The sequence below is a fragment of the Homo sapiens genome, chromosome 16 (assembly GCF_000001405.40).
Source record: "Homo sapiens chromosome 16, GRCh38.p14 Primary Assembly".
Lineage (NCBI taxonomy): Eukaryota > Metazoa > Chordata > Mammalia > Primates > Hominidae > Homo > Homo sapiens.
Window position 1 is genome coordinate 58,632,898 of NC_000016.10, and position 19,974 is coordinate 58,652,871.

General features: G+C 48.0%; 1 annotated feature.

Annotated features, from left to right (window-relative positions):
- Positions 5,450-5,509: an enhancer, noted in NCBI's record as "active region_10933". NCBI's record gives its function as "activates an Ori minimal core promoter by ATAC-STARR-seq in GM12878 lymphoblastoid cells {active_cell/tissue: GM12878}" and the evidence as "EXISTENCE:reporter gene assay evidence [ECO:0000049][PMID:35858748]".

Sequence of the window (19,974 nt, forward strand, 5' to 3'; positions counted from 1 at the left end):
GAGGCAAGAGAATCACTTGAACCCGGGAGACAGAAGTTGCAGTGAGCGTAGATCGCACCACTACACTCAAGCCTGGGTGACAGAGTGAGACTGTGACTCAAAAATAAATAAATAAATAAATAAATAAATAAATATCGTACTTTTTAATGAAATATTATGAATTTTTTTTTAGACGGAGTCTCACTCTGTCACCCAGGCTGGAGTGCAGTGGCATGATCTTGGCTCACTGCAAGCTCTGCCTGCCGGGTTCGTGCCATTCTCCTGCCTCAGCCTCCCAAGTAGCTGGGACTACAGGCGCCCGCCACCACGCCTGGCTAATTTTTTGTATTTTTAGTAGAGACGGGGTTTCTCTGTGTTAGCCAGAATGGTCTCAATCTCCTGACCTCGTGATCTGCCCACCTCGGCCTCCCAAAGTGATGGGATTACAGGCATCAGCCACCATGCCCAGCCTCTTTTTTTTTTTTAAATGAGGTAAGTTGGCCGGGTACAGTGGCTCACACTTGTAATCCCAGCACTTTGGGAGGCCGAAGCGGGTGGATCGCCTGAGGTCTGGAGTTCGAGAGCAGCCTGGCCAGCATGGTGAAACCCTGTCTCTAAAATACAAAAATACAAAAATCAGTCTAAAAAAATAATAATAATTTAAAAATGAGGTAAGTCTACATTTGCTTATATGGAATGGTTCTAAGATTTATTGCTAAATTAGAAAGTTAGATGAAGGAAAGAAAAAATATATAATCATTATGTTACCATTTGTGTGGAAGAAAATAACTATATCTATATTTATATATAACTAAATGCATCAAAACATTTGAAAAGATATACTTCTCCCCCCCAACTAACACCAATGTTTGTCTGTAGGGAGAGGAGTGGGAATGAGGAAGGGTAAAAGGAAACTTGGGCTTTTTATTCTATAGACTACTTTTTTTTTCTTTTTTTCTTTTTTTTTTCTTTTCTTTTTTTGCCCAAGCTGGAGTACAATGGCATGGTCTTGACTCACTACAACCTCTGCCTCCCAGTTACAAGCGATTCTCCTGCCTCAGCCACCCGAGCAGCTGGGATTACAGGTACCTGCCATCATGCCTAGCTAATTTTTTGTATTTTTAGTAGAGACGGGGTTTTACCATGTTGGCCAGGCTGGTCTTGAACTCCTGACCTCAGGCGATCCACGTGCCTCGGCCTCCCAAAGTGCTGGGATTATAGGCGTGAGCCACTGCACCTGCCCACTATTTGAACATTTTACAAAGAGTATGTATTTATGTTTTATTTGTATAATTTTAAATACTTTTTTAAATGAATTAAAAACTCTTTTTGTAGAGATGAGATCTCACTCAGTCTGGTCTCCAACTCCTGGCCTCAAGTGATTCCCCACACCTAGGCATCCCAAAGTGCTGGGGTTACAGGTGTGAACCACCACACCCCACCTTAAGATTTTTTTTTTTTTTAAAGACAGTAGGTGATACCCACAGAGGTCAGCTATCTAAGGTCAACTCTGTAATTCTACAGCTAGTTCTGGTCTCAAACATAGATCTCCAAAAATAAAGATAAGGTAAAATAAAGCCGAATTGCCTTTTTCTACTTCCACCTGTCTTTGCCGGGAAAATGGTTTGCTGCTTTCAACTGAGACTGCTCCAGGAGACCCTTGTGCCCACTGCCAACCCCTCCCCTGGAGTTACAACACCACTTCTAGGATTTGACTTGTCATGGAGCCTGAGCTAAGTACCTGCAAGATTTGCACAATGGCCTAGAGATCAAAGTCCTTCAACCGTCTGTCAGAATCCTAGGTGGCTTCTATCCTTACTAAAAAGCTGAAAGACTCACAGGAAATTTACAAACTGGAAGGGGTACTGTAGGTTACTTGATACACATTTGAATTTTTATCAAAAGACATAATTGGAAATCAAGCCCAGACAAACTATTTTACTAGACACCTTCACAAAGGATTAACTGAATCACCTTATAACTCAGCAACCCACTGTATTTAGAAACAGGATATTTTAGCTAGCTGTTAATTACTTTCCTGGCCTCTTTCCTTAGCCTTCTTCCGGTCTTTCACTTCTCCCCAATTAACTGCATCCCAGGCTCTGGAAGAATTTTACAAAACTCTCGGCCGGGCGCAGTGGCTCATGCCTATAATCCCAGCACTTTGGGACGCCGGGGTAGGCAGATCACAAGGTCAGGAGATCGAGACCATCCTGGCCAACATGGTGAAACCCCTGTCTCTACTAAAATACAAAAACTTAGCCGGGCATGGTGGCGCACGCCTGTGGTCCCAGCTACTCGGGAGGCTGAGGCGGGGGAATTGCTTGAACCCGGAAGGCAGAGTTGCAGTGAGCCAAGATCGCGCCACTGCACTCCAGCCTGGCTAGAGAGCGAGACTCTGATTTTACAAAACTCTTTTCACTGTTTCCCAAAATAGCCCAGAGAGGGAAATGTAAGTACTGGAAACAAAAGCCTTATTTAATTAGGTTAGGAAGGGGAACAAAAAATACTTAGAAGACAAAGAATTTTGAGGCTTTGAGATCTGTGCAAACTATATTATAATATATTTCAAAGTGCTTGGAAGAAAGGTGAATGGAAAATACAAGGCCTTTGGGCATGGTGGCTCACGCCTGTAATCCCAGCACTTTGGGAGGCCGAGGTGGGAGGACTGCTTGAGCCCAGGAGTTAAAGACCAGCCTGGGAAACGCAGCAAGATTCTACAAAAAAGAAAAAGAAAAATTAGCCAGGCATGGTGCTGCATACCTGTAGTTGCAGCTACTTAGGAGGCTGAGGTGGGAGGATCCCCTGAGGCCAGAAGGTCAAGGCTGCAGTGAGCCGTGATTGCACCAGCACACTCCAGTCTGGGCAACAGACTGAGACCTTGTCTCAAAAAATAAAGAAATACATAAAAAAGAATGCAAGAAATACAAAGCCTTATTATTTCATGTTCCTGTTTTTCAGTCTCATTTTTCAAGTTAGTCAGTAACTTCAATTTACAGTAGTTTTAACTACCTTAGGATTCTCTGTCTTACCCAGAGCTGCCCATTGACAGCCTAACTCTAAATCCAGCCCATTACCACTGCCCTGCCCCAATCCCTCTGATTCCCTGGGCACTCAAGCTCTAGTAAGACATTGGTAGCTCTACCCTGGGAGGATGTCCAGGGAGGCACACTGCAAAAAGCCCACTGAGAAATTCAGAAACCTGCAGCCATAAAAAGTAAATGAGATCATGTCCTTTGCAGGGACCTGGATGAAGCTGGAAGCCATCATCCTCAGCAAACTAACACAGGAACAGAAAACCGAACCCCACATGTTCTCACTCATAAGCAGGAGTTGAACAATGAGAACACATGGGCACAGGGAGGGGAACATCACACACTGGGGCCTGTCAGGGGGTGGGGGCAAGGGGAGGCAGAGCATTAGGACAAATAGCTAATACATGCAGGGCTTAAAACTGAGATGACAGGTTGATAGGTGCAGCAAACCACCATGGCACACGTATACCTGTGTAACAAACCTACACATTCTGCTCTTGTATCCCAGCACTTAAAGTACAATAAAAAATGTAATATATATATTTAAAAAATTAAAAACCTGGCTGGGCGTGGAGTAGGAGTTACAGAGGAAGAGTGGCGGGGAGGGGGTTACATTCCAGCAAAGAGCTAGGCCTCCCAGAGAGGATACAGCATCTTTGGGCATCTGTGAGGAGCTGAAAGACCAGGAAGGCTGGAACCCAGAGAGGTAGCCAGAAGCCCATCTAGGGCTGCTGTGTCAGCCCTTTATCCTAAGAGCTCTGGGAAGCCTTTGAAGGGTTGGGTGGAGCAGCTGACAGGCTTATATTTGCATTTTTTTTTAAGGTCACACTGGCTGTGATGTGGAAGAAGGGCTGGGAAACTAACCAGGAAACTACTGTAAGAGTCCAGGGGAGATAGTGCGGTGGGAATGGGGAGAACTGGGACCACAAGAGATGTGGGAAGTGAAATTGTCGGGCTTTGGTAATTGATAGTGTGAAAGATAAGAGAAAAGAAATGAAGGGGCTGGGCACAGTGGCTCATGCCTGTAATCCCAGCACTTTGGGAGGCTGAGGTGGGCAGATCACCTGAGGTCAGGAGTTCGAGACCAGCCTGGCCAACATGAAGAAACCCCGTCTCTACTAAAAATACAAAAAATTAGCCAGGTGTGGTGGTGGGCACCTGTAATCCCAGATACTTGGGAGGCTGAGGAAGTAGAATCACTTGAACCAGGGAGGCAGAGGTTGCGGTGAGCCGAGACTGCAGGACTGCACTCCAGCCTGGGCAACAGAACAAGACTCTGACTCAAAATAAATAAATAAATAAATAAATAAATAAATAAATAAATAAATAAAGAGATGAGGTCTCACTATGTTGACCAGGCTGGTCTCGAACTCCTGGCCTCACGCGATCCTCCCAACTTGGCCTCTCAAAGTGTTAGGATTACAGGTGTGAGCCACCATGCCCTGATATTAATAGTTTAATTTGAAAGCAAGGATGATAATTGTCCTTCCTTAAAACTAACCCCCTCTAGGCTGTGCATGGTGGCTCACACCTGTAATCCCAGCACTTCAGGAGGCTGAGGTGGGTGGATCACCTGAGGTCAGAAAGTTGAGACCAGCCTGGCCAACATGGTGAAACCTTGTCTCTACTAAAAATACAAAAATGAGCCGGGCATAGTGGTGCCTGCCTGTAACCCCAGCTACTTGGGAGGCAGGGGTTGCAGTGAGCAGAGATCACGCCACTGCACTCCAACCTGGTTGACAGAGTGAAACTCCATCTCAAAAAAAAAAAAAAGAAAGAAATTTTTTAAATAAAAAATTAGCCATATGTGGTGGTGCACTCCTATAGTCCCAGCTACTTGGGAGGCTGAGGTGGGAAGATGGTTTGAGGCCGTGAGCTGTGATTATGCCATTGCACTTCAGCCTAGATGACAGAGCAGAACTTTGTCTCAAAAAAACATAAAAAAAACACAAAAAGCAAAAAAGGACTAATGAAAGGCCACAAGATTAGGAGTATGGGAAGGGCCAGAATTCTGCTAAATGTCAGCATAGTTTCTATAATCCCTTATGCTCAGCAGTCATGTGGCCAGAGGCCACAGGATTTGTGACTTCCTCTTGCTCCTATAGATAACATCACTTGTAAAATTTAAGATTTGTCTTTTGAGATTTTTTTTTTTTTTGAGATGGAGTCTCCCTCTGTCGCCCAGGCTAGAGTGCAGTGGCGCGATCTCGGCTCACTGCAACCTCCACCTCCCGGGTTCAAGAGATTCTCCTGCCTCAGCCTCCTGAGTAGCTGGGATTATAAGAGTGTAACAGCGTGCCACCATGCCTGGCTAATTTTTGTATTTTTAGTAGAGACAGGGTTTCTCCATGTTGGTCAGGCTGTTCTCAAACTCCTGACCTCGTGATCCGCCCGCCTCATTCCAAAGTGCTGGGTTACAGGCGTGAGCCTGTAACTGATTTTTTTTTTTTCCAGATTTTCTGGCAACTGGCTGATCCTGCCCCAACCTGTGACTCATGCCTCAACCAGTCCTGTGGCCCCATCTGGAGGCCGACTCTGTGCAGGAGGACCATTTTCCACACCTCTATGATACCATCTCCAACCCATTCCCTGCCCCCTGCCCACCAACTTGTTCATAAAAAGCCTAGCCTCGGACTTCTCAGAGACACTGATTTGAGTAATAACTCCAACTACTGCATGGCCAGCCTTGAGTTAATAAAACTCTCTCCTGCAATATCACAGTCTCAGTGAACTGATTTTGTCTGTGCAACAGGCAGGAAGAACCCACGATGAGGCAATTACACCTTTGTTCATGCCCTTCCCATATAGAGTAAGTGTTTCTTCCTCTCTAGGTCTCAGAATCTTTCTGTAAAACAGAAGAATTGGCTAGGATGATCTCTAAGTCCTTTCCACTTGGAACTGTTCTGAGTCACAGTAGCCCCTGGTCCACACTGTACTCCAAATGAGGTTTCTCAGGGACAGTAACCCAGGAAAGGTGAGGTGGAAAGAGGAGAGGCAGCCAGGCCCTTCTGCATGCCTTCCTCTCTGCCTCCATTGCCATCCAATATTCCTAAGAGGTAGGGCCCAGGGTGTACCTGCCCTGGATAGGGGATGCTGGGGAAGTGCTGCCTGTCCCTCATTTTCACCACCTGAGCATCTCACCCCACCTTGATCCCTTTCGGGTTCAAGACTGTGCTGTCCCCAGTCCAAGACTGCCTCAGCACAGAAAGCACCCAGCAGAACACTGGCCCTGAGGATGCTTCCAGGGAGGCCAGAATGAGGTACGTTGAGTACTGCAGTCTGAGCTCAGGAGTCAGACTTCTAATTAGCTGGGCATAGTAGTGTATGCCTGTAGTCCCAGCAACTCGGGAGGCTGGGGCAGGAGGATCCCTTGAGCCCACGAGTTTTGAGGCTGCAGTGAGCTATGATGGCACCACTGCACTCCAACCTGGGCAACAGAGTGAGACCCTGCCTCTTAAAAAAAAAAAAAAAAAAAAAGAGGCTGGGTGCAGTGTGCAGTGGGTCATGTCTGTAATCCCAGCACCCAGCACTTTGGGAGGCTGCGGCAGGAAGATTACTTGAGCTCAGGAATTCCAGACCAGCCTGGGCAACATAGCGAGACCCCAGCTTAAAAAAAAATTCAAAATAAATTAATAAATAATAAAGGAGTCAGCCTCCTGAGGTTCATATTCCAGCTCTACCCTAGGTAACCATGCACTAGGACACTGCCTCTCTGAGCTTCAGGTCCTTCATCTGTGAAATGGGATGACAGCGGTACATAGGGTAGAGGATCTTCATGAGGGTTAAATGAGATAAAGTATGTAAAATACTCAATGTCTAGTGTAAAGGAAGATTTTGTTGTTGTTGTTGTTTTGAGACAAAGTCTCGCTCTGGCCCCCAGTCTGGGGTGCAGTGGCGTGATCTCAGGTCACTGCAACCTCCACCTCCCGGGTTCAAGTGATTCTCCCGTCTCAGTCTCACGAGTAGCTGGGATTACAGGTATGCGCCACCACGCCTGACTAATTTTTGTATTTTTGGTAGAGAAGGGGTTTCACCATGTTGGCCAGGCTGGTTTCAAATTCCTGACCTCAGATGATCTGCTGGTCTTGGCCTCTCAAAGTGTTGAGATTACAGGTGTGAGCCACCGTGCCTGGCCCGTAGAGGAAGTTTATGTATTGAGTCATTCATTCAACAAAAAGGTGTTAAGTGCCTCCTATGTGCCAAGTATTGGGAATTACAGCAACAAAACTGAGTTCATTGATCTTGCATTTAAACAAGGCGGTGGAGGGGGGAGGTGGAATAAACAAGAATAAATAAATAATGCCAGGCAGTAAAATTGCTACAAAAACATGATGCAGGAGAATAGGTGCTGGAGTAACAGAAAGAAGTGAGAGGGCAGGGGAGGTAGGCAGCAGACCCCTCTGATAGAGGAGTTCAGCAGAGACCTAAAGGAAGTGAGAAAAGAAGCCATGTAGATATCTGGTGGCAGGGGGTTTCAAGCAGGGGACCAGAAAGTGCCAAGGCCCCGAGGTTGAGGTTTGGCAAGACTGCAGGTGAGGCTGAAGCAGGACAGTGATAGCAATGAGGAGGAGAGGGGTGGAATATGTAGTCAGAGAGGAGCTAGAACATGTGGGGCCCTGTAGGCCATGAGAACATAGGCTTCTATGGCTCCTCAACATGGTGAAACCCCATCTCTACCAAAAATACAAAAATTAGCCCGGTGTGGTGGTGCATACCTGTAATCCCAGCTACTTGGGAGGCTGAGATAGGAGAATCACTTGAACCCAGGAGGCAGAGGTTGCAGTGAGCCAAGATCGTGCCACTGCACTCCAGCCTGGGAGACACAGTGAGACTATGTCTCAGAAAAAAAAAATAGAAATAAAGAAATAAATAAAGGCTGCTGCAAGAGGAAAAGACTATAGGAGAACAAGGGTGGAATCAGGAATCTCCAAATTAGAGGTAGATTGTAATGGTCCAGGCGAGAGATGATGGTGGACTGGACTAGCTGCAAAGGTAGAGAGAAGCATTATCTATAATAATTATCGCAGCCTTCACCATCCCACATCCCACCTCACCAACCACTTACCCAGGTGGCCACGTTGAACTGGTATCTTCGGAAAAGGTTGCTCATGTCAGCAGTGTAATGCCCCTGGTAGCCACGTGCCTCCCACCAGGGTGAGTAGCGGTGGTAAATGTTGAGGCCAATGCCCTGAATCATGCCATAAGCTTCTAGGACCTGCAGAGAAGAATCAATCCAAAGTCCTTCCGGGGTTGAGGGTGAAACACAACTTGCTATACTTCCTGGCCAACACCAATTGACACCAAGGTCCCAATTCCTCTGATGTCCCACATGATAGAAGCTGCCAGCAGAGCATATGGGACCTGAGCTTCTGTCCTGTGGCTTCCTAGAGGGAAGGGCAGTCTTGGAGCTGACTCCAGGAGACACATCCATGCCATACCACAGGGAGCTGGGAGACACTGCAGCCCTCCACCACCCAGGAGAGAGCCACTAAGTATCAACTAGCATCACCAAGGCAGTGGGCTGGATTATGCTGTACGGGCCAGGGCTCACAATTTTTCTTTCTTTCTTTCTTTCTTTTTTTTTTTTTTTAGAGACTGGGTCTCACTCTGTTGCCCAGGCTGGAGTACAGTGGCACAGTCATAGCTTACTGCCACCTCAAACTCCTGGGCTCAATCGATCCTCCTGCCTCAGCCTCCAAAGCAGCTAGGACTACAGACATGGGCCAACATGCCCAGCCAATTAAAAAAAAATTTTTTTTTTTGGCCGGGCACGGTGTCTCACGCCTGTAATCCCAGCACTTTGGGAGGCTGAGGCGGGTGGATCATGAGGTCAGGAGATTGAGACCATCCTAGCTAACACAGTGAAACCCTATCTCTACTAAAAATACAAAAAATTAGCCGGGCGTGGTGGTGGGTGCCTGAAGACCCAGCTACTCTGGAGGCTGAGGCAGGAGAATGGCGTGAACCCTAGAGGCGGAGCTTGCAGTGAGCCAAGATCGTGCCACTGCACTCCAGCCTGGGCGACAGAGCCAGACTCCACATCAAAAAATAAATAAATAAATAAATAAAATTTTTTTAGAGATAGGGTCTTGCTTTGTTGCCCAGGCTGGTCTCAAATCCTGGGCTCAAGCGACCCTCCTGCTAGGCCAATGTGCCTGGCCCCACAATTCTATTTAATTGGCCTATTTAGGTAGGGCCAAAGACTCTATGGTCCTGTCATCTCACCCATTGTCACTCTTAATAGTAGTAAAACTGTCTCCACTTGGGCATACACGGCAGAAAGTTTGCAAGGCTACATGGCAGCCAAACTTCTTGGCAGAAATCTGACGGTGCCCAGTAAACACTCCTAAAATGCTAATTCTTATTCGAAAACCAAATTTTGGTGGCCTGTAATGACTCCCCATGCACAATAATCTTTTGTCAAGGGTCAAATGGAAATCCAAGGCACTTGGAATATCTGGATTCCAGCAATGGATAATTAGAACTTGAGGGCCCAGCAGCAGGCAGGGAGCAGAGTTGAAATCACTGCTCTAGGGCAGTCTCCTCTAAATTGTCACCATTCCTTGTGAGACCTCCTGCTGCTTTTTTTTTTAATTTTTTGTTTTTGTTTTTGTTTTTGAGACAGTCTTGCTCTGTCGCCCAGGCTGGAGTGCAATGGCACAATCTTGGCTCACTGCAAACTCTGCCTCTGGGATTCAAGCGATTCTCCTGCCTTAGCCTCCCAAGTAGCTGGGATTACAGGCGCCTGCCACTGAGCCTGGCTAATTTTTGTATTTTTAGTAGAGACAGGGTTTCACCATGTTGGCCAGGCTGGTCTTGAATTCCTGGCCTCAGGTAATCCACCTACCTTAGCCTCCCAGAGTGCTGGGATTACAGGTGTGAGCCACTTCGCTGGCCTATTTATTTTTTAATTAATTAATTTATTTTTTTTGAGACAGTCTGGCTCTGTTGCCCAGTCTGGAGTGTAGTGGCATGATCTCTGCTCACTGCAACCTCTGCCTCCCGGGTCCCGGTTCAAGCAACTCTCTTGCCTCAGCCTCCAGAGTAGCTGCGATTACAGGCACGTGCCACCATGCCCAGCTAATTTTTTTTTTTTTTGTATTTTTAGTAGAGACAGGATTTCACCATGTTGGTCAGGCTGGTCTTGAACTCCTGACCTCGTGATCCGCCTGCCTTGGCCTCCCCAAGTGCTGGGATTACAGGTGTGAGCCACTGTGCCCTGCCTATATTTAATTTTTTTATAGAGACAGAGCCTCACTATGTTGACCAGGCAGGCTGGTCCCACCTCGGCCTCCCGAACTGTTGGGATTACAGGCATGAGCCACCATGCCTGGCCAGTAATACAATTTTTTTTTTATGGATTTTTGTTATTGTCATCCAGGCTGGAGTGCAATGGCGTGATCTCGGCTCACTGTAACCTCTGCATCCCTGGTTCAAGCAATTAACCTGCCTTAGCCTCCTGAGTAGCTGGGATTACAGGCACATGCCACCACGCCCAACTAATTTTTGTATTATTAGTAGAGACGGGGTTGCAACATGTTGGCCAGGCTGGTCTCAAACTCCTGACCTCAGGTGATCCACCCGCCTTGGCCTCCCAAAGTGCTGGTGTTACAGGCATGAACCACCATGCCCAGCCCAGAAATATAAAACTTTTTTTTTTGAGACAGAGTTTCACTCTTGTTGTCCAGGCTGGAGTGCAATTGTGAAATCTTGGCTCACCACAACCTCCACCTCCTGGGTTCAAGCAATTGTCCTGCCTCAGTCTCCCGAGTAGCTGGGATTACAGGTGTGTGCCATCACGCACGGCTAATTTTGTAATTTTAGTAGAGACAGGGTTTCACCATGTTGTCCAGGCTGGTTTTGAACTCTTGACCTCAGGTGATTCGCCTGCCTTGGCCTCACAAAGTGCTGGGATTACAGGCGTGAGCCACTGGGCCTGGCCTAGGAACATGATTTTTTTTTTGTTCTTGTTCTTTTTTTTTTTTTTGAGACGGAGTCTTGCTCTGTCACCCAGGCTGGAGTGCAGTGGCATGATCTTAGCTCACTGCAAGCTCTGCCTCCCAGGTTCATGCCATTCTCGTGCATCAGCCTCCCGAGCAGCTGGGACTACAGACGCCCGCCACCATGCCCGGCTAATTTTTTTTTGTATTTTTAGTAGAGACAGGGTTTCACTGTGTTAGCCAGGATGGTCTCGATCTCCTGACTTCGTGATCTGCCTGCCTCGGACTCCCAAAGTGCTGGGATTACAGGCATCAGCCACCACGCCCGGCTGGAACATGATTTTTTAAAACAACACTGTGGGCCCAACCAATCTGCCTGCTTCACAGTGTTGCTGTATGGTGCAAAGGAGGAAATGTCATGCTTTGTAAACTATGAATTGGAAGAGTGTGTGTGTATTTGTGTGTGTGTGCATGTGTGTGTGTGTGTGCATGTGTGCGTGTGTGTGTGTGTGTGTGTACAGCACTATGCACTGGGGTTCTGAGCTCCTCTTTTTCTTTTGCTCTTCTGACACCTGAGCAAGAAAGAGACACCCTGGCCAAGTGCAATAGCTCATGCCTGTAGTCCCAGCACTTTGGGAGGCCAAAGTGGGAGGATTGCTTGAGCCCAGCAGTTCCAGACCAGCCTGGGCAACATAGCGGAGACCCTGTCTCATTTTAATATTTTTGAGATGGAGTTTCACTCTTGTTGCCCAGGCTAGAGTGCAATGGCACGATCTTGGCTTACCGCAACCTCCGCCTCACGGGTTCAAGCAATTCACCCGCCTTAGCCTCCTGAGAAGCTGGAATTACAAGCATACACCACCACACCTGGCTAATTTTGTATTTTTAGTAGAGATGGGGTTTCTCCATGTTGGCCAGGCTGGTCTTGAACTCCTGACCTCAGGTGACCCGCCCGCCTCAGTCCCCCAAAGTGCTGAGATTACAGGTGTGAGCCACTGCTCTCGGCCGAGACTCCCTCATTCTAACCTTCCTGTGACTCTGAGGAGAGGGGGTGACTCACCGCTCTCAGGCAGTGGTTCTCTGTGTTGCTGAAGTTGCAGGTGCCCTCAGAGCAGCAGTAGATGTGAGGAATGGCCAGAGGCTATGGACAAAAGTCTGGAAAGTCAGACAGTGACAGCAGGGGGCCACTGGACCCACCTCCATTCCCATGGAAGTCACCCCATTTCCTGCCATTTCTAAATTGGCCTGCATGGCGGCATCACCTGTCTCTGACTTAAGGATGGCAGAGAGCCACCTGCCTTACAGGTAGATGTACCACAAGGTGCCAAAGATAAGGACTGGAAGGAGACAGAACTTATTCTTTGCCAACGAGGCCATTGTAACCAAATTCCATCAGTGTCATTGGCTTAAAACCAGGAGGGACAAGTAAATGCCTCTACTTGATCATGACAGTGATAATGACTCACCTTGACTGAGTGCTCGCTGTGTGCCACACTCTACCTTGAGTCCTTTATTTTAATTGTCTTCTTTATTTACTGTAACCCTGTGAAGCAGGTACTACTCTGTGCATTACCATTTTTTTTTTTTTTTTTGAGACAGAGCCTCACTCCATTGCCTAGGCTGGAGTGCAGTGGCACGATCTCGGTTCACTGCAACCTCCGCCTCCCAGGTTTAAGCGAGTCTCCTGCCTCAGCATCCCAAGTAGCTGGGATTACAGACATGCATCACCATGACTGGCTAATTTTTGTATTTTTAGTAGAGACAGGGTTTCACCATGTTGGCCAGGCTGGTCTCAAACTCCTGGACTCAGGTGATCCACCTGCCTCAGCCTCCCAAAGTGCTGGGATTACAAGCATGAACCACCATGCCTGGCCTGTCAATCCCATTTTGCAGACAAGGAAATTGAGGTAAACGGATGGTAAAGAGCTTGCTCAAGGCCACAGTCAGTCAGAGGCAGTGCCAGGATTCAAACCCAGGTTGGTGTGATGTCCAGACCTAACACTTGTAGCCATTTGGCTATATTGCCTCCTGCAGGGTTAACACAGAGCCATACTCAGAACCTCAGAGCAGCTGACACCTTTCAGATTGCAGTAGAGGGGAATGAGGATCAAGGTCAGAGATTGATCACTATCCTCTGAATATATCCCCACTCTTCCCATTGATCTCTGTCTCCCATGTTCTCATTCTCTAGTCCATGTGTTGCTGTCATCTCTGCCTGGACCACAGCAGGCCCTGACTGGTCTCCATCTCTGTACTCTGCCCTGCTCCTCCATAAACTATCCTCCTGCTAAAATCCTTCTAATGGCTCCCTATAGAGTCTTTGCATGGCTTACAAGGCCCCCACCTGCCACAAGAGCCTCTTTCTTACTGTCCATCCCCAACTTGAGGTGGGTCTCATTCTGTCACCCAGGCTGGAGTGCAGCGGCATGATCACTGCTCACTGCAGCCTTCACCTCCCCAGGCTCAGGTAATCCTCCCCTTCAGCCTCCTGAGTAGCTGGGACTACAGGTGTGCACCACCACACCCGGCTAATATTTGTATTTTTTGTATTTTTTTATTTTTTGAGACTGAGTCTCACTCTGTCACCAAGCTGGAGTGCAGTGGCGGGATCTTGGCTCACTGCAACCTCCGACTCCCTGGTTCAAGCAATTCTCCTGCCTCACCCTCCCAAGTAGCTGAGATTACAGCCACGCGCCACCACGCCCAGCTAATTTTTGTATTTTTAGTAGAGATGGGGTTTCACCATGTTGGCCAGGATGGTCTCGATCTCCTGACCTCGTGATCCACCCAACTCGACCTCCCAAAGTCCTGGGATTACAGGCATGAGCCACCACACTCAGCCAATTTTTTTTGTTTTTTTTTTTTTGGCAGAGTTTTGCTCTGTTGCCCAGGCTTGAGTGCAGTGTTGTGATCTTGGCTCACTGCAACCTCTGCCCCCCCAGGTTCAAGTGATTCTCCTGCCTCAGCCTCTTTAGTAGCTGGGATTATAGGTGCCCGCCACCACACCCGGCTGTTTTTTTTTTTTTTTTGTATTTTTAGTAAAGACGGGGTTTTGCCATATTGGCGAGGCTGGTCTCGAACTCCTGACCTCAGGTGATCCACCTGCCTCGGCCTCCCAAAGTGTTGGGATTACAGGTGTGAGCCACTGCGCCTGGCCCTTGCCTTGCTTTTCATAGCAACCTTGGAGGTAAGTCCTCATTATTATTCTTATTTCTCAGATGAGGAAACTGAAGCTCAGACAGGTTTGTTTGCTCAAGGTCACATAGCTATATGTGACCATATATATGCTATATGCCATATGCTATATGGGCTCTGCTATATGTCAGAGCCCAAATTTGAACTAATCAGTCTGTTTCCGGGGCACATATTATGCTAAACTTCTTTCCCTACATGATGTAAATCCTCACAACACTAAGTTTATTGTTGCCCATTTCATAGATGAGGAAACTAAGGCCGGCAGAGGTTAAGGAACAGCTGGGAGGTGTTGGAGATGAGACTTGTATGGCCTCTGGCTCATCCAGGCGTGTGAACTGACTGCAGCTTTTAGTATGCTCAGGATGGTTTCCTTTCCATGGGATTTTACTCATATGATCTGAAATTAAGGTCCACGAGGCAATGGATTGGTGAAAACACTGGGACCCAGAGATGGGGAGTGACTGGCCAAGGTGATATCAACTAAGACCCAGCTCTGTCGCCTAGGCTGGAATGCAGCGGCACGATCTCGGCTCACTGCAACCTCCTCCTCCCGGGTTCAAGCAATTCTCCTGCCTCAGCCTCCTGAGTAGCTGGGATTACAGGCGCACGCCACCTCGCCCGGCTAATTTTTATATTTTTTGTAGAGACGGGGTTTCACCGTGGGCATTTTTTTTAAAAGAGACAGGGACCTGGCTATGTTGCCTACGCTAGTCTTGAACTCCTGAGCTCAAGTGGTCTTCCCGCCTCGGCACCCCAAAGTGCTGGGACTACAGGCATGAGCCACCATATCTGGCCCAGGCTTTAGTTTTTTTCTTAATTTTTTACAAACTTGCCCCACTCTCTCTTCATTTTAAAGGGAACTTATGCTCCTGTTTGGCTGGGCTGGGCTGCTTTGATTAAATCTCATGCAGGGCTGCTCCCAGAAAGCAGAGATCCTCTCTAACGGGAGCTAAACCTAACTTCACATGGTTTAGTTAAGATGAGAGGAGTCTTAGCCAGGCACAGTGGCTCACACCTGTAATCCCAGCACTTTGGGAGGCTGAGGCAGGAGGATCACTTGAGGTCAGGAGTTCGAGACCAACCTGGCCAACATGACGAAACCCTGTCTCTACTAAAAATACAAAAATTAGCTGAGCGCAGTGGTGGGCCCCTGTAATCCTAGCTACTCAGGAGGCTGAGGCAGGAGAATCACTTGAACCCGGGAGGTGCAGGTTGCAGTGACCCGAGATCGTGCCATTGCACTCCAGCCTGGACGACAGAGCGAGACTGTCTCAAAACCAAACAAACAAACAAACAAAAAGATGAGAGAAGTCTTCCAAGGCCCAGCCCAGTGCTAAATGAACCCTCCTTCTTTTCACTGCTGGTCTGCCCTCAGCAGGATGTAGGCCATAAAGAAAGAACCACTTTTTTAAGCCTAAACATCTTCTTGCTGTGTAACTTCACAACACTTGCTTCCCTCTCTGGGTCTCAGGTTACCTTTTTCTGTAGTGGGAGGGTGGCAGCCAATGACTGCTGAGGTCTTTCTGACTAGGAAATCCTATGGCTGCAGTTGAAGCTTGCCACTAATGATCCTGCAGACACCACCATCCATAGCTGCCACCACAACCCATATGGCTGGCGGGGCTGAAGGCAGGCCAGGAACCAGCTGCAAGATCTGGGGGAGCATGAGTCCTCAGCGAGGACCCCAGAAAACAAAGGGAAGCCAATGTTCTCTTGCCAACACAGGGCTGCCTCCCAAGAGGCCCACTTCCAGGCAGCTGGGCAGCTTCCTGGCCACAGGACTGGCTGCATAATGTGCAGGGCCCTTGTTCAAGAGTTAGGAAGAATTTAGGCTGGGCTCGGTGGCTCATGCCTGTAATCCCAACACTTTGGGAGGCCGAGGCGGGCGGATCACTTGAGGTCAAGAGTTCGAGGCCAGCCTGGCCAACATGGCGAAACCTCATCTCTACTAAAAATACAAAAATTAACTGGGTGTGGTGGCTGGCGCCTATAATCCCAGCTACTCGGGAGGCTGAGGCAGGAGAATCGCTTGAACTCGGGAGGCCAGGGTTGCTATGAGCCAAGATTGGGTCAGTGAACTGTAGCCTGGGCGACAGAGCAAGACTCTGTCTCAAAAAAAAAAAAAAAAAAAAAAAAATTCAAGAGCATTAAACCAAGAGCAGGGACATTCTAAACAGAGGTCCCTGAGTGACTGCGTGGGTCACATACCCATGACATTTACCCTGCCTGGCCACCCCAAGACACAGTACCAAAGGATCACTTTCTTTCACTTTCACAGGTTTTTTGTTTGTTTGTTTTGTGACGGAGTCTCACTCTGTCGCCCAGGCTGGAGTGCAGTGGTGCCATCTCGGCTCACTGCAGGCTCCACCTCCTGGGTTCACGCCATTCTCCCGCGTCAGCCTCCCGAGTAGCTGGGACTACAGGAGTCCGCCACCACGCCCGGCTAATTTTTTGTATTTTTAGTAGAGACGGGGTTTCACCGTGTTAGCCAGGATGGTCTCGATCTCCTGACCTTGTGATTTGCCCGCCTCAGCCTCCCAAAGTGCTGGGATTACAGGCTTGAGCCACTGCGCCCGGCCGATCACTTTCACAGGTTTTTACAGTCCCGAGGGACTCTTCATTAAAGCCTCCGTGCTCTGGCTGAGTGGTGGTCCTGGCTGCAGCTCCACAGAGGAGGGAGAGAATTCTGGCTGGGAAATGGCCCTACTGGGTGAGGCAGGGTCTTCTTCTCAGGGATGAAGGTCATCTGGCCTACTTTTTCCTTCTTACAAGCCACAGCTATGCTGAAGGTCCCAAAGGAGCTCCGATTGACCTAGTGCCAGGCTGTAAAGGCTGCGGGCAAGGCAGACTCAGGACTCCAGAGCCAGAAACTCTGGAGGACGTTAGAAGAGCAAGCAGCTCAGTGTGGCAGAATGAGCCCAGCCCAGCCAAATAGGAGCATAAATTCCCTTTAAAATGAAGAAAGGGTGGGGCAAGATTGTAAACAATTAAGAAAAAAACTAAAACCTGGTCCAGGCATGGTGGCTAATGCCTTGCCTGTAGTCCTGGCAGTTTGGGATACCAAGGTGGGAGGATCACTTGAGCTCAGGAGTTCAAGACCAGCCTGGGCAACATAGCCAGACCCCTGTCTCTTTTATTTTTTTTTTTGAGACGGCGTCTCACTCTGTCGCCCAGGATGGAGTGCAGTGGCACCATCTCGGCTCACTGCAAGCTCCGCCTCCTCTGTTCACACCATTCTCTTGCCTCAGCCTCCTGAGTAGTTGGGACTACAGGCGCCTGCCACCACGCCCGGCTAATTTTTTGTGTATTTAGTAGAGACGGGGTTTCACCATGTTAGCCAGGATGATCTTGATCTTTTGACCTCGTGATCCGCCCGCCTCGGCCTCCCAAAGTGCTGGGATTACAGGCGTGAGCCACCGCACCCAGCCTAGACCCCTGTCTCTTAAAAAAAAAAAAAAAAAAATTGGCCAGACGCGGTGGCTCACACTTGTAATCTCAGCACTTTGGGAGGCTGAGGCAGGCAGATCACGAGGTCAGGAGTTTGAGACCAGCCTGACCAACATGGTGAAACCCCATCTCTACAAAAAATACAAAAATTAGCCAGGCGTGGTGGCCTGCACCTGTAATTCCAGCTACTCAGGAGCTATTCTACTGAGGCAGGAGAATCGCTTGAACCCGGGAGGTGGAGGTTGCAGTGAGCCAAGATCATGCCACTGCACTCCAGCCTAGGCAACAGAGTGAGACTCTGTCTCAAAAAAAAAAAAAGGCCAGGCGGGTGGCTCACGCTTGTAATCCCAGCACTTTGGGAGGCTGAGGCGGGCGGATCACCTGAGGTTATGAGTTCAAGACCAGCCTGACCAACATGGAGAAACCCCATCTCTACTAAAAATACAAAAAAATTAGCCGGGCATGGTGGCCCATGCTTGTAATCCCAGCTACTCAGGAGGCTGAGGCAGGAGAATCGCTTGAACTCAGGAGGTGGAGGTTGCAGTGAGCAGAGATTGCGCCATTGCACTCCAGCCTGGGCAACAAGAGTGAAACTCCATCTCAAAAAAAAAACACCAAAAAAAAAAATCAACAACCAAAACCTGATTACCCAGCAGAGCACCCTGGCAGGATGCACTTGATAGAGTGGTGTGTTCTGTGTTCTGGTGGCCACACCTGCAGTGCACACACCCTGGGCCAGCCCAAATGCTGAGGACGTTCCAACACTGAGCTCACTTAATTCACCCAACAAACTTGTCCGATGTTTATTTTTGTTTTCACCATGTAGAAGTAGAAATTTGGACTCAGAGAGGTAAAGTGTCTTTCCTGAGGTTTTTTATGCAATGCGTTTACAGCTCACTGATCAAATTATAATGCACAGGAAGTGTTATACACAGTGCTAAGTGCATACATAGTAAATGCTTGAGTAAGGTTAGTTATATAAGATCCTACTGACTGGAAATGGTAAAACCAGGATTCAAATTCAGACTTATCCAATTCCACCTCTGCTCTATTTCAAATATCAAGACTGTCCCAGTGTCCAAGCCCTGTTTGGTTAAACCTCAGTTAATTTGAACTCAGCTCTCTGGAGCTCACAATTATCTTGATTTTTTTTTCCCCATGGGCTTTCAATCCTTAGGAGAAAAAAAAACAAATCCTCAAGACACAAACTAGTATTCAGTACAAGCCAGAGCTTGTACTGAAGTGAAGGTCCCCAAGGAGCTCTAATCGACCTAGAGCCAGGAAGTTAGGGTTGGAAGCAAGGCATTCAAACTAGAATTAGTCTATAGGCTGGGCGTGGTGGCTCAAGCCTGTAAACCCAGCACTTTGGGAGACTCAGATGACTTGAGGTCAGGAGTTCGAGACCAGCCTGGCCAACATGGTGAAATCCCATCTTTACTAAAAATACAAAAATTAGCCAGACATGGTGATGTGTACCTGTAATCCCAGCTACTCAGGAGGCTGAGGCACAAGAATTGCTTGGACCCAGGAGGCAGAGGTTGCAGTGAGTCAAGATCACACACTGCATTCCAGCCTGGGAGACAGAGCAAGACTTTGTCTCAAAATAAAAACAAACACAAACTAGAATTAGTCTATGAAGGCAACTTCTCAGGAACGTTCTGTGGTTAGTACTCACTCTGGCCCATTGCCTGCACCTTCTCGGTTCTTGAGCCTAGACAGGGGTGACACGTCATAGGTGCTCAAAAACAACTTTTGCAGGAAAGGAAGCTCTTTTCCAGACCTTAAAGCAGCCAAGAAAGATTTGGTTTTATTCATGAGGTTTGTTCAAGAAGAAAAGATTTATTTCTTTTTTTAGAGATGGGTCTCACTGTGTTGTCCAGATTGGCCTCAAACTCCTGGGCTCAAGGGATCCTCCCGCCTCAGCCTCCTAAGTAGCTAGGACTACAGGTGCATGCCACCACACCTGGCTAGAAGAAAGGATTTCTAACACATGTTAAGATTATTTATTTTAAACATCAAGGAATATACAGGTTAGAAGACTAAACCCATATCAATCAGGAATTCAGTTACATACAGTGGTCATTAGGCTCTGGTTATTTGAGGTCCAGCTGTATTAGCGCACAACCCGGAAGCCTCCCTTATACTAATACTCATGGTGCCAGCCTCCCTTATACCAATATCTTGGGTGTGGCTGAAGAGAAGATAGAGTCAGCTTCTCCCTGGGCTTCTGTTAACCATGAGCAGCCAGACAAGTAAGGAGGATGTTGGGATTTGTGAACTGCTAAAGTTTGTGGTGAAGCTGAGAGGCTGCATCTGTCTCACCTCACTCCCTGCACAGCCCTTGGCTAGTGTTCCTGGTCAGTCCCATTCCCTTTGTC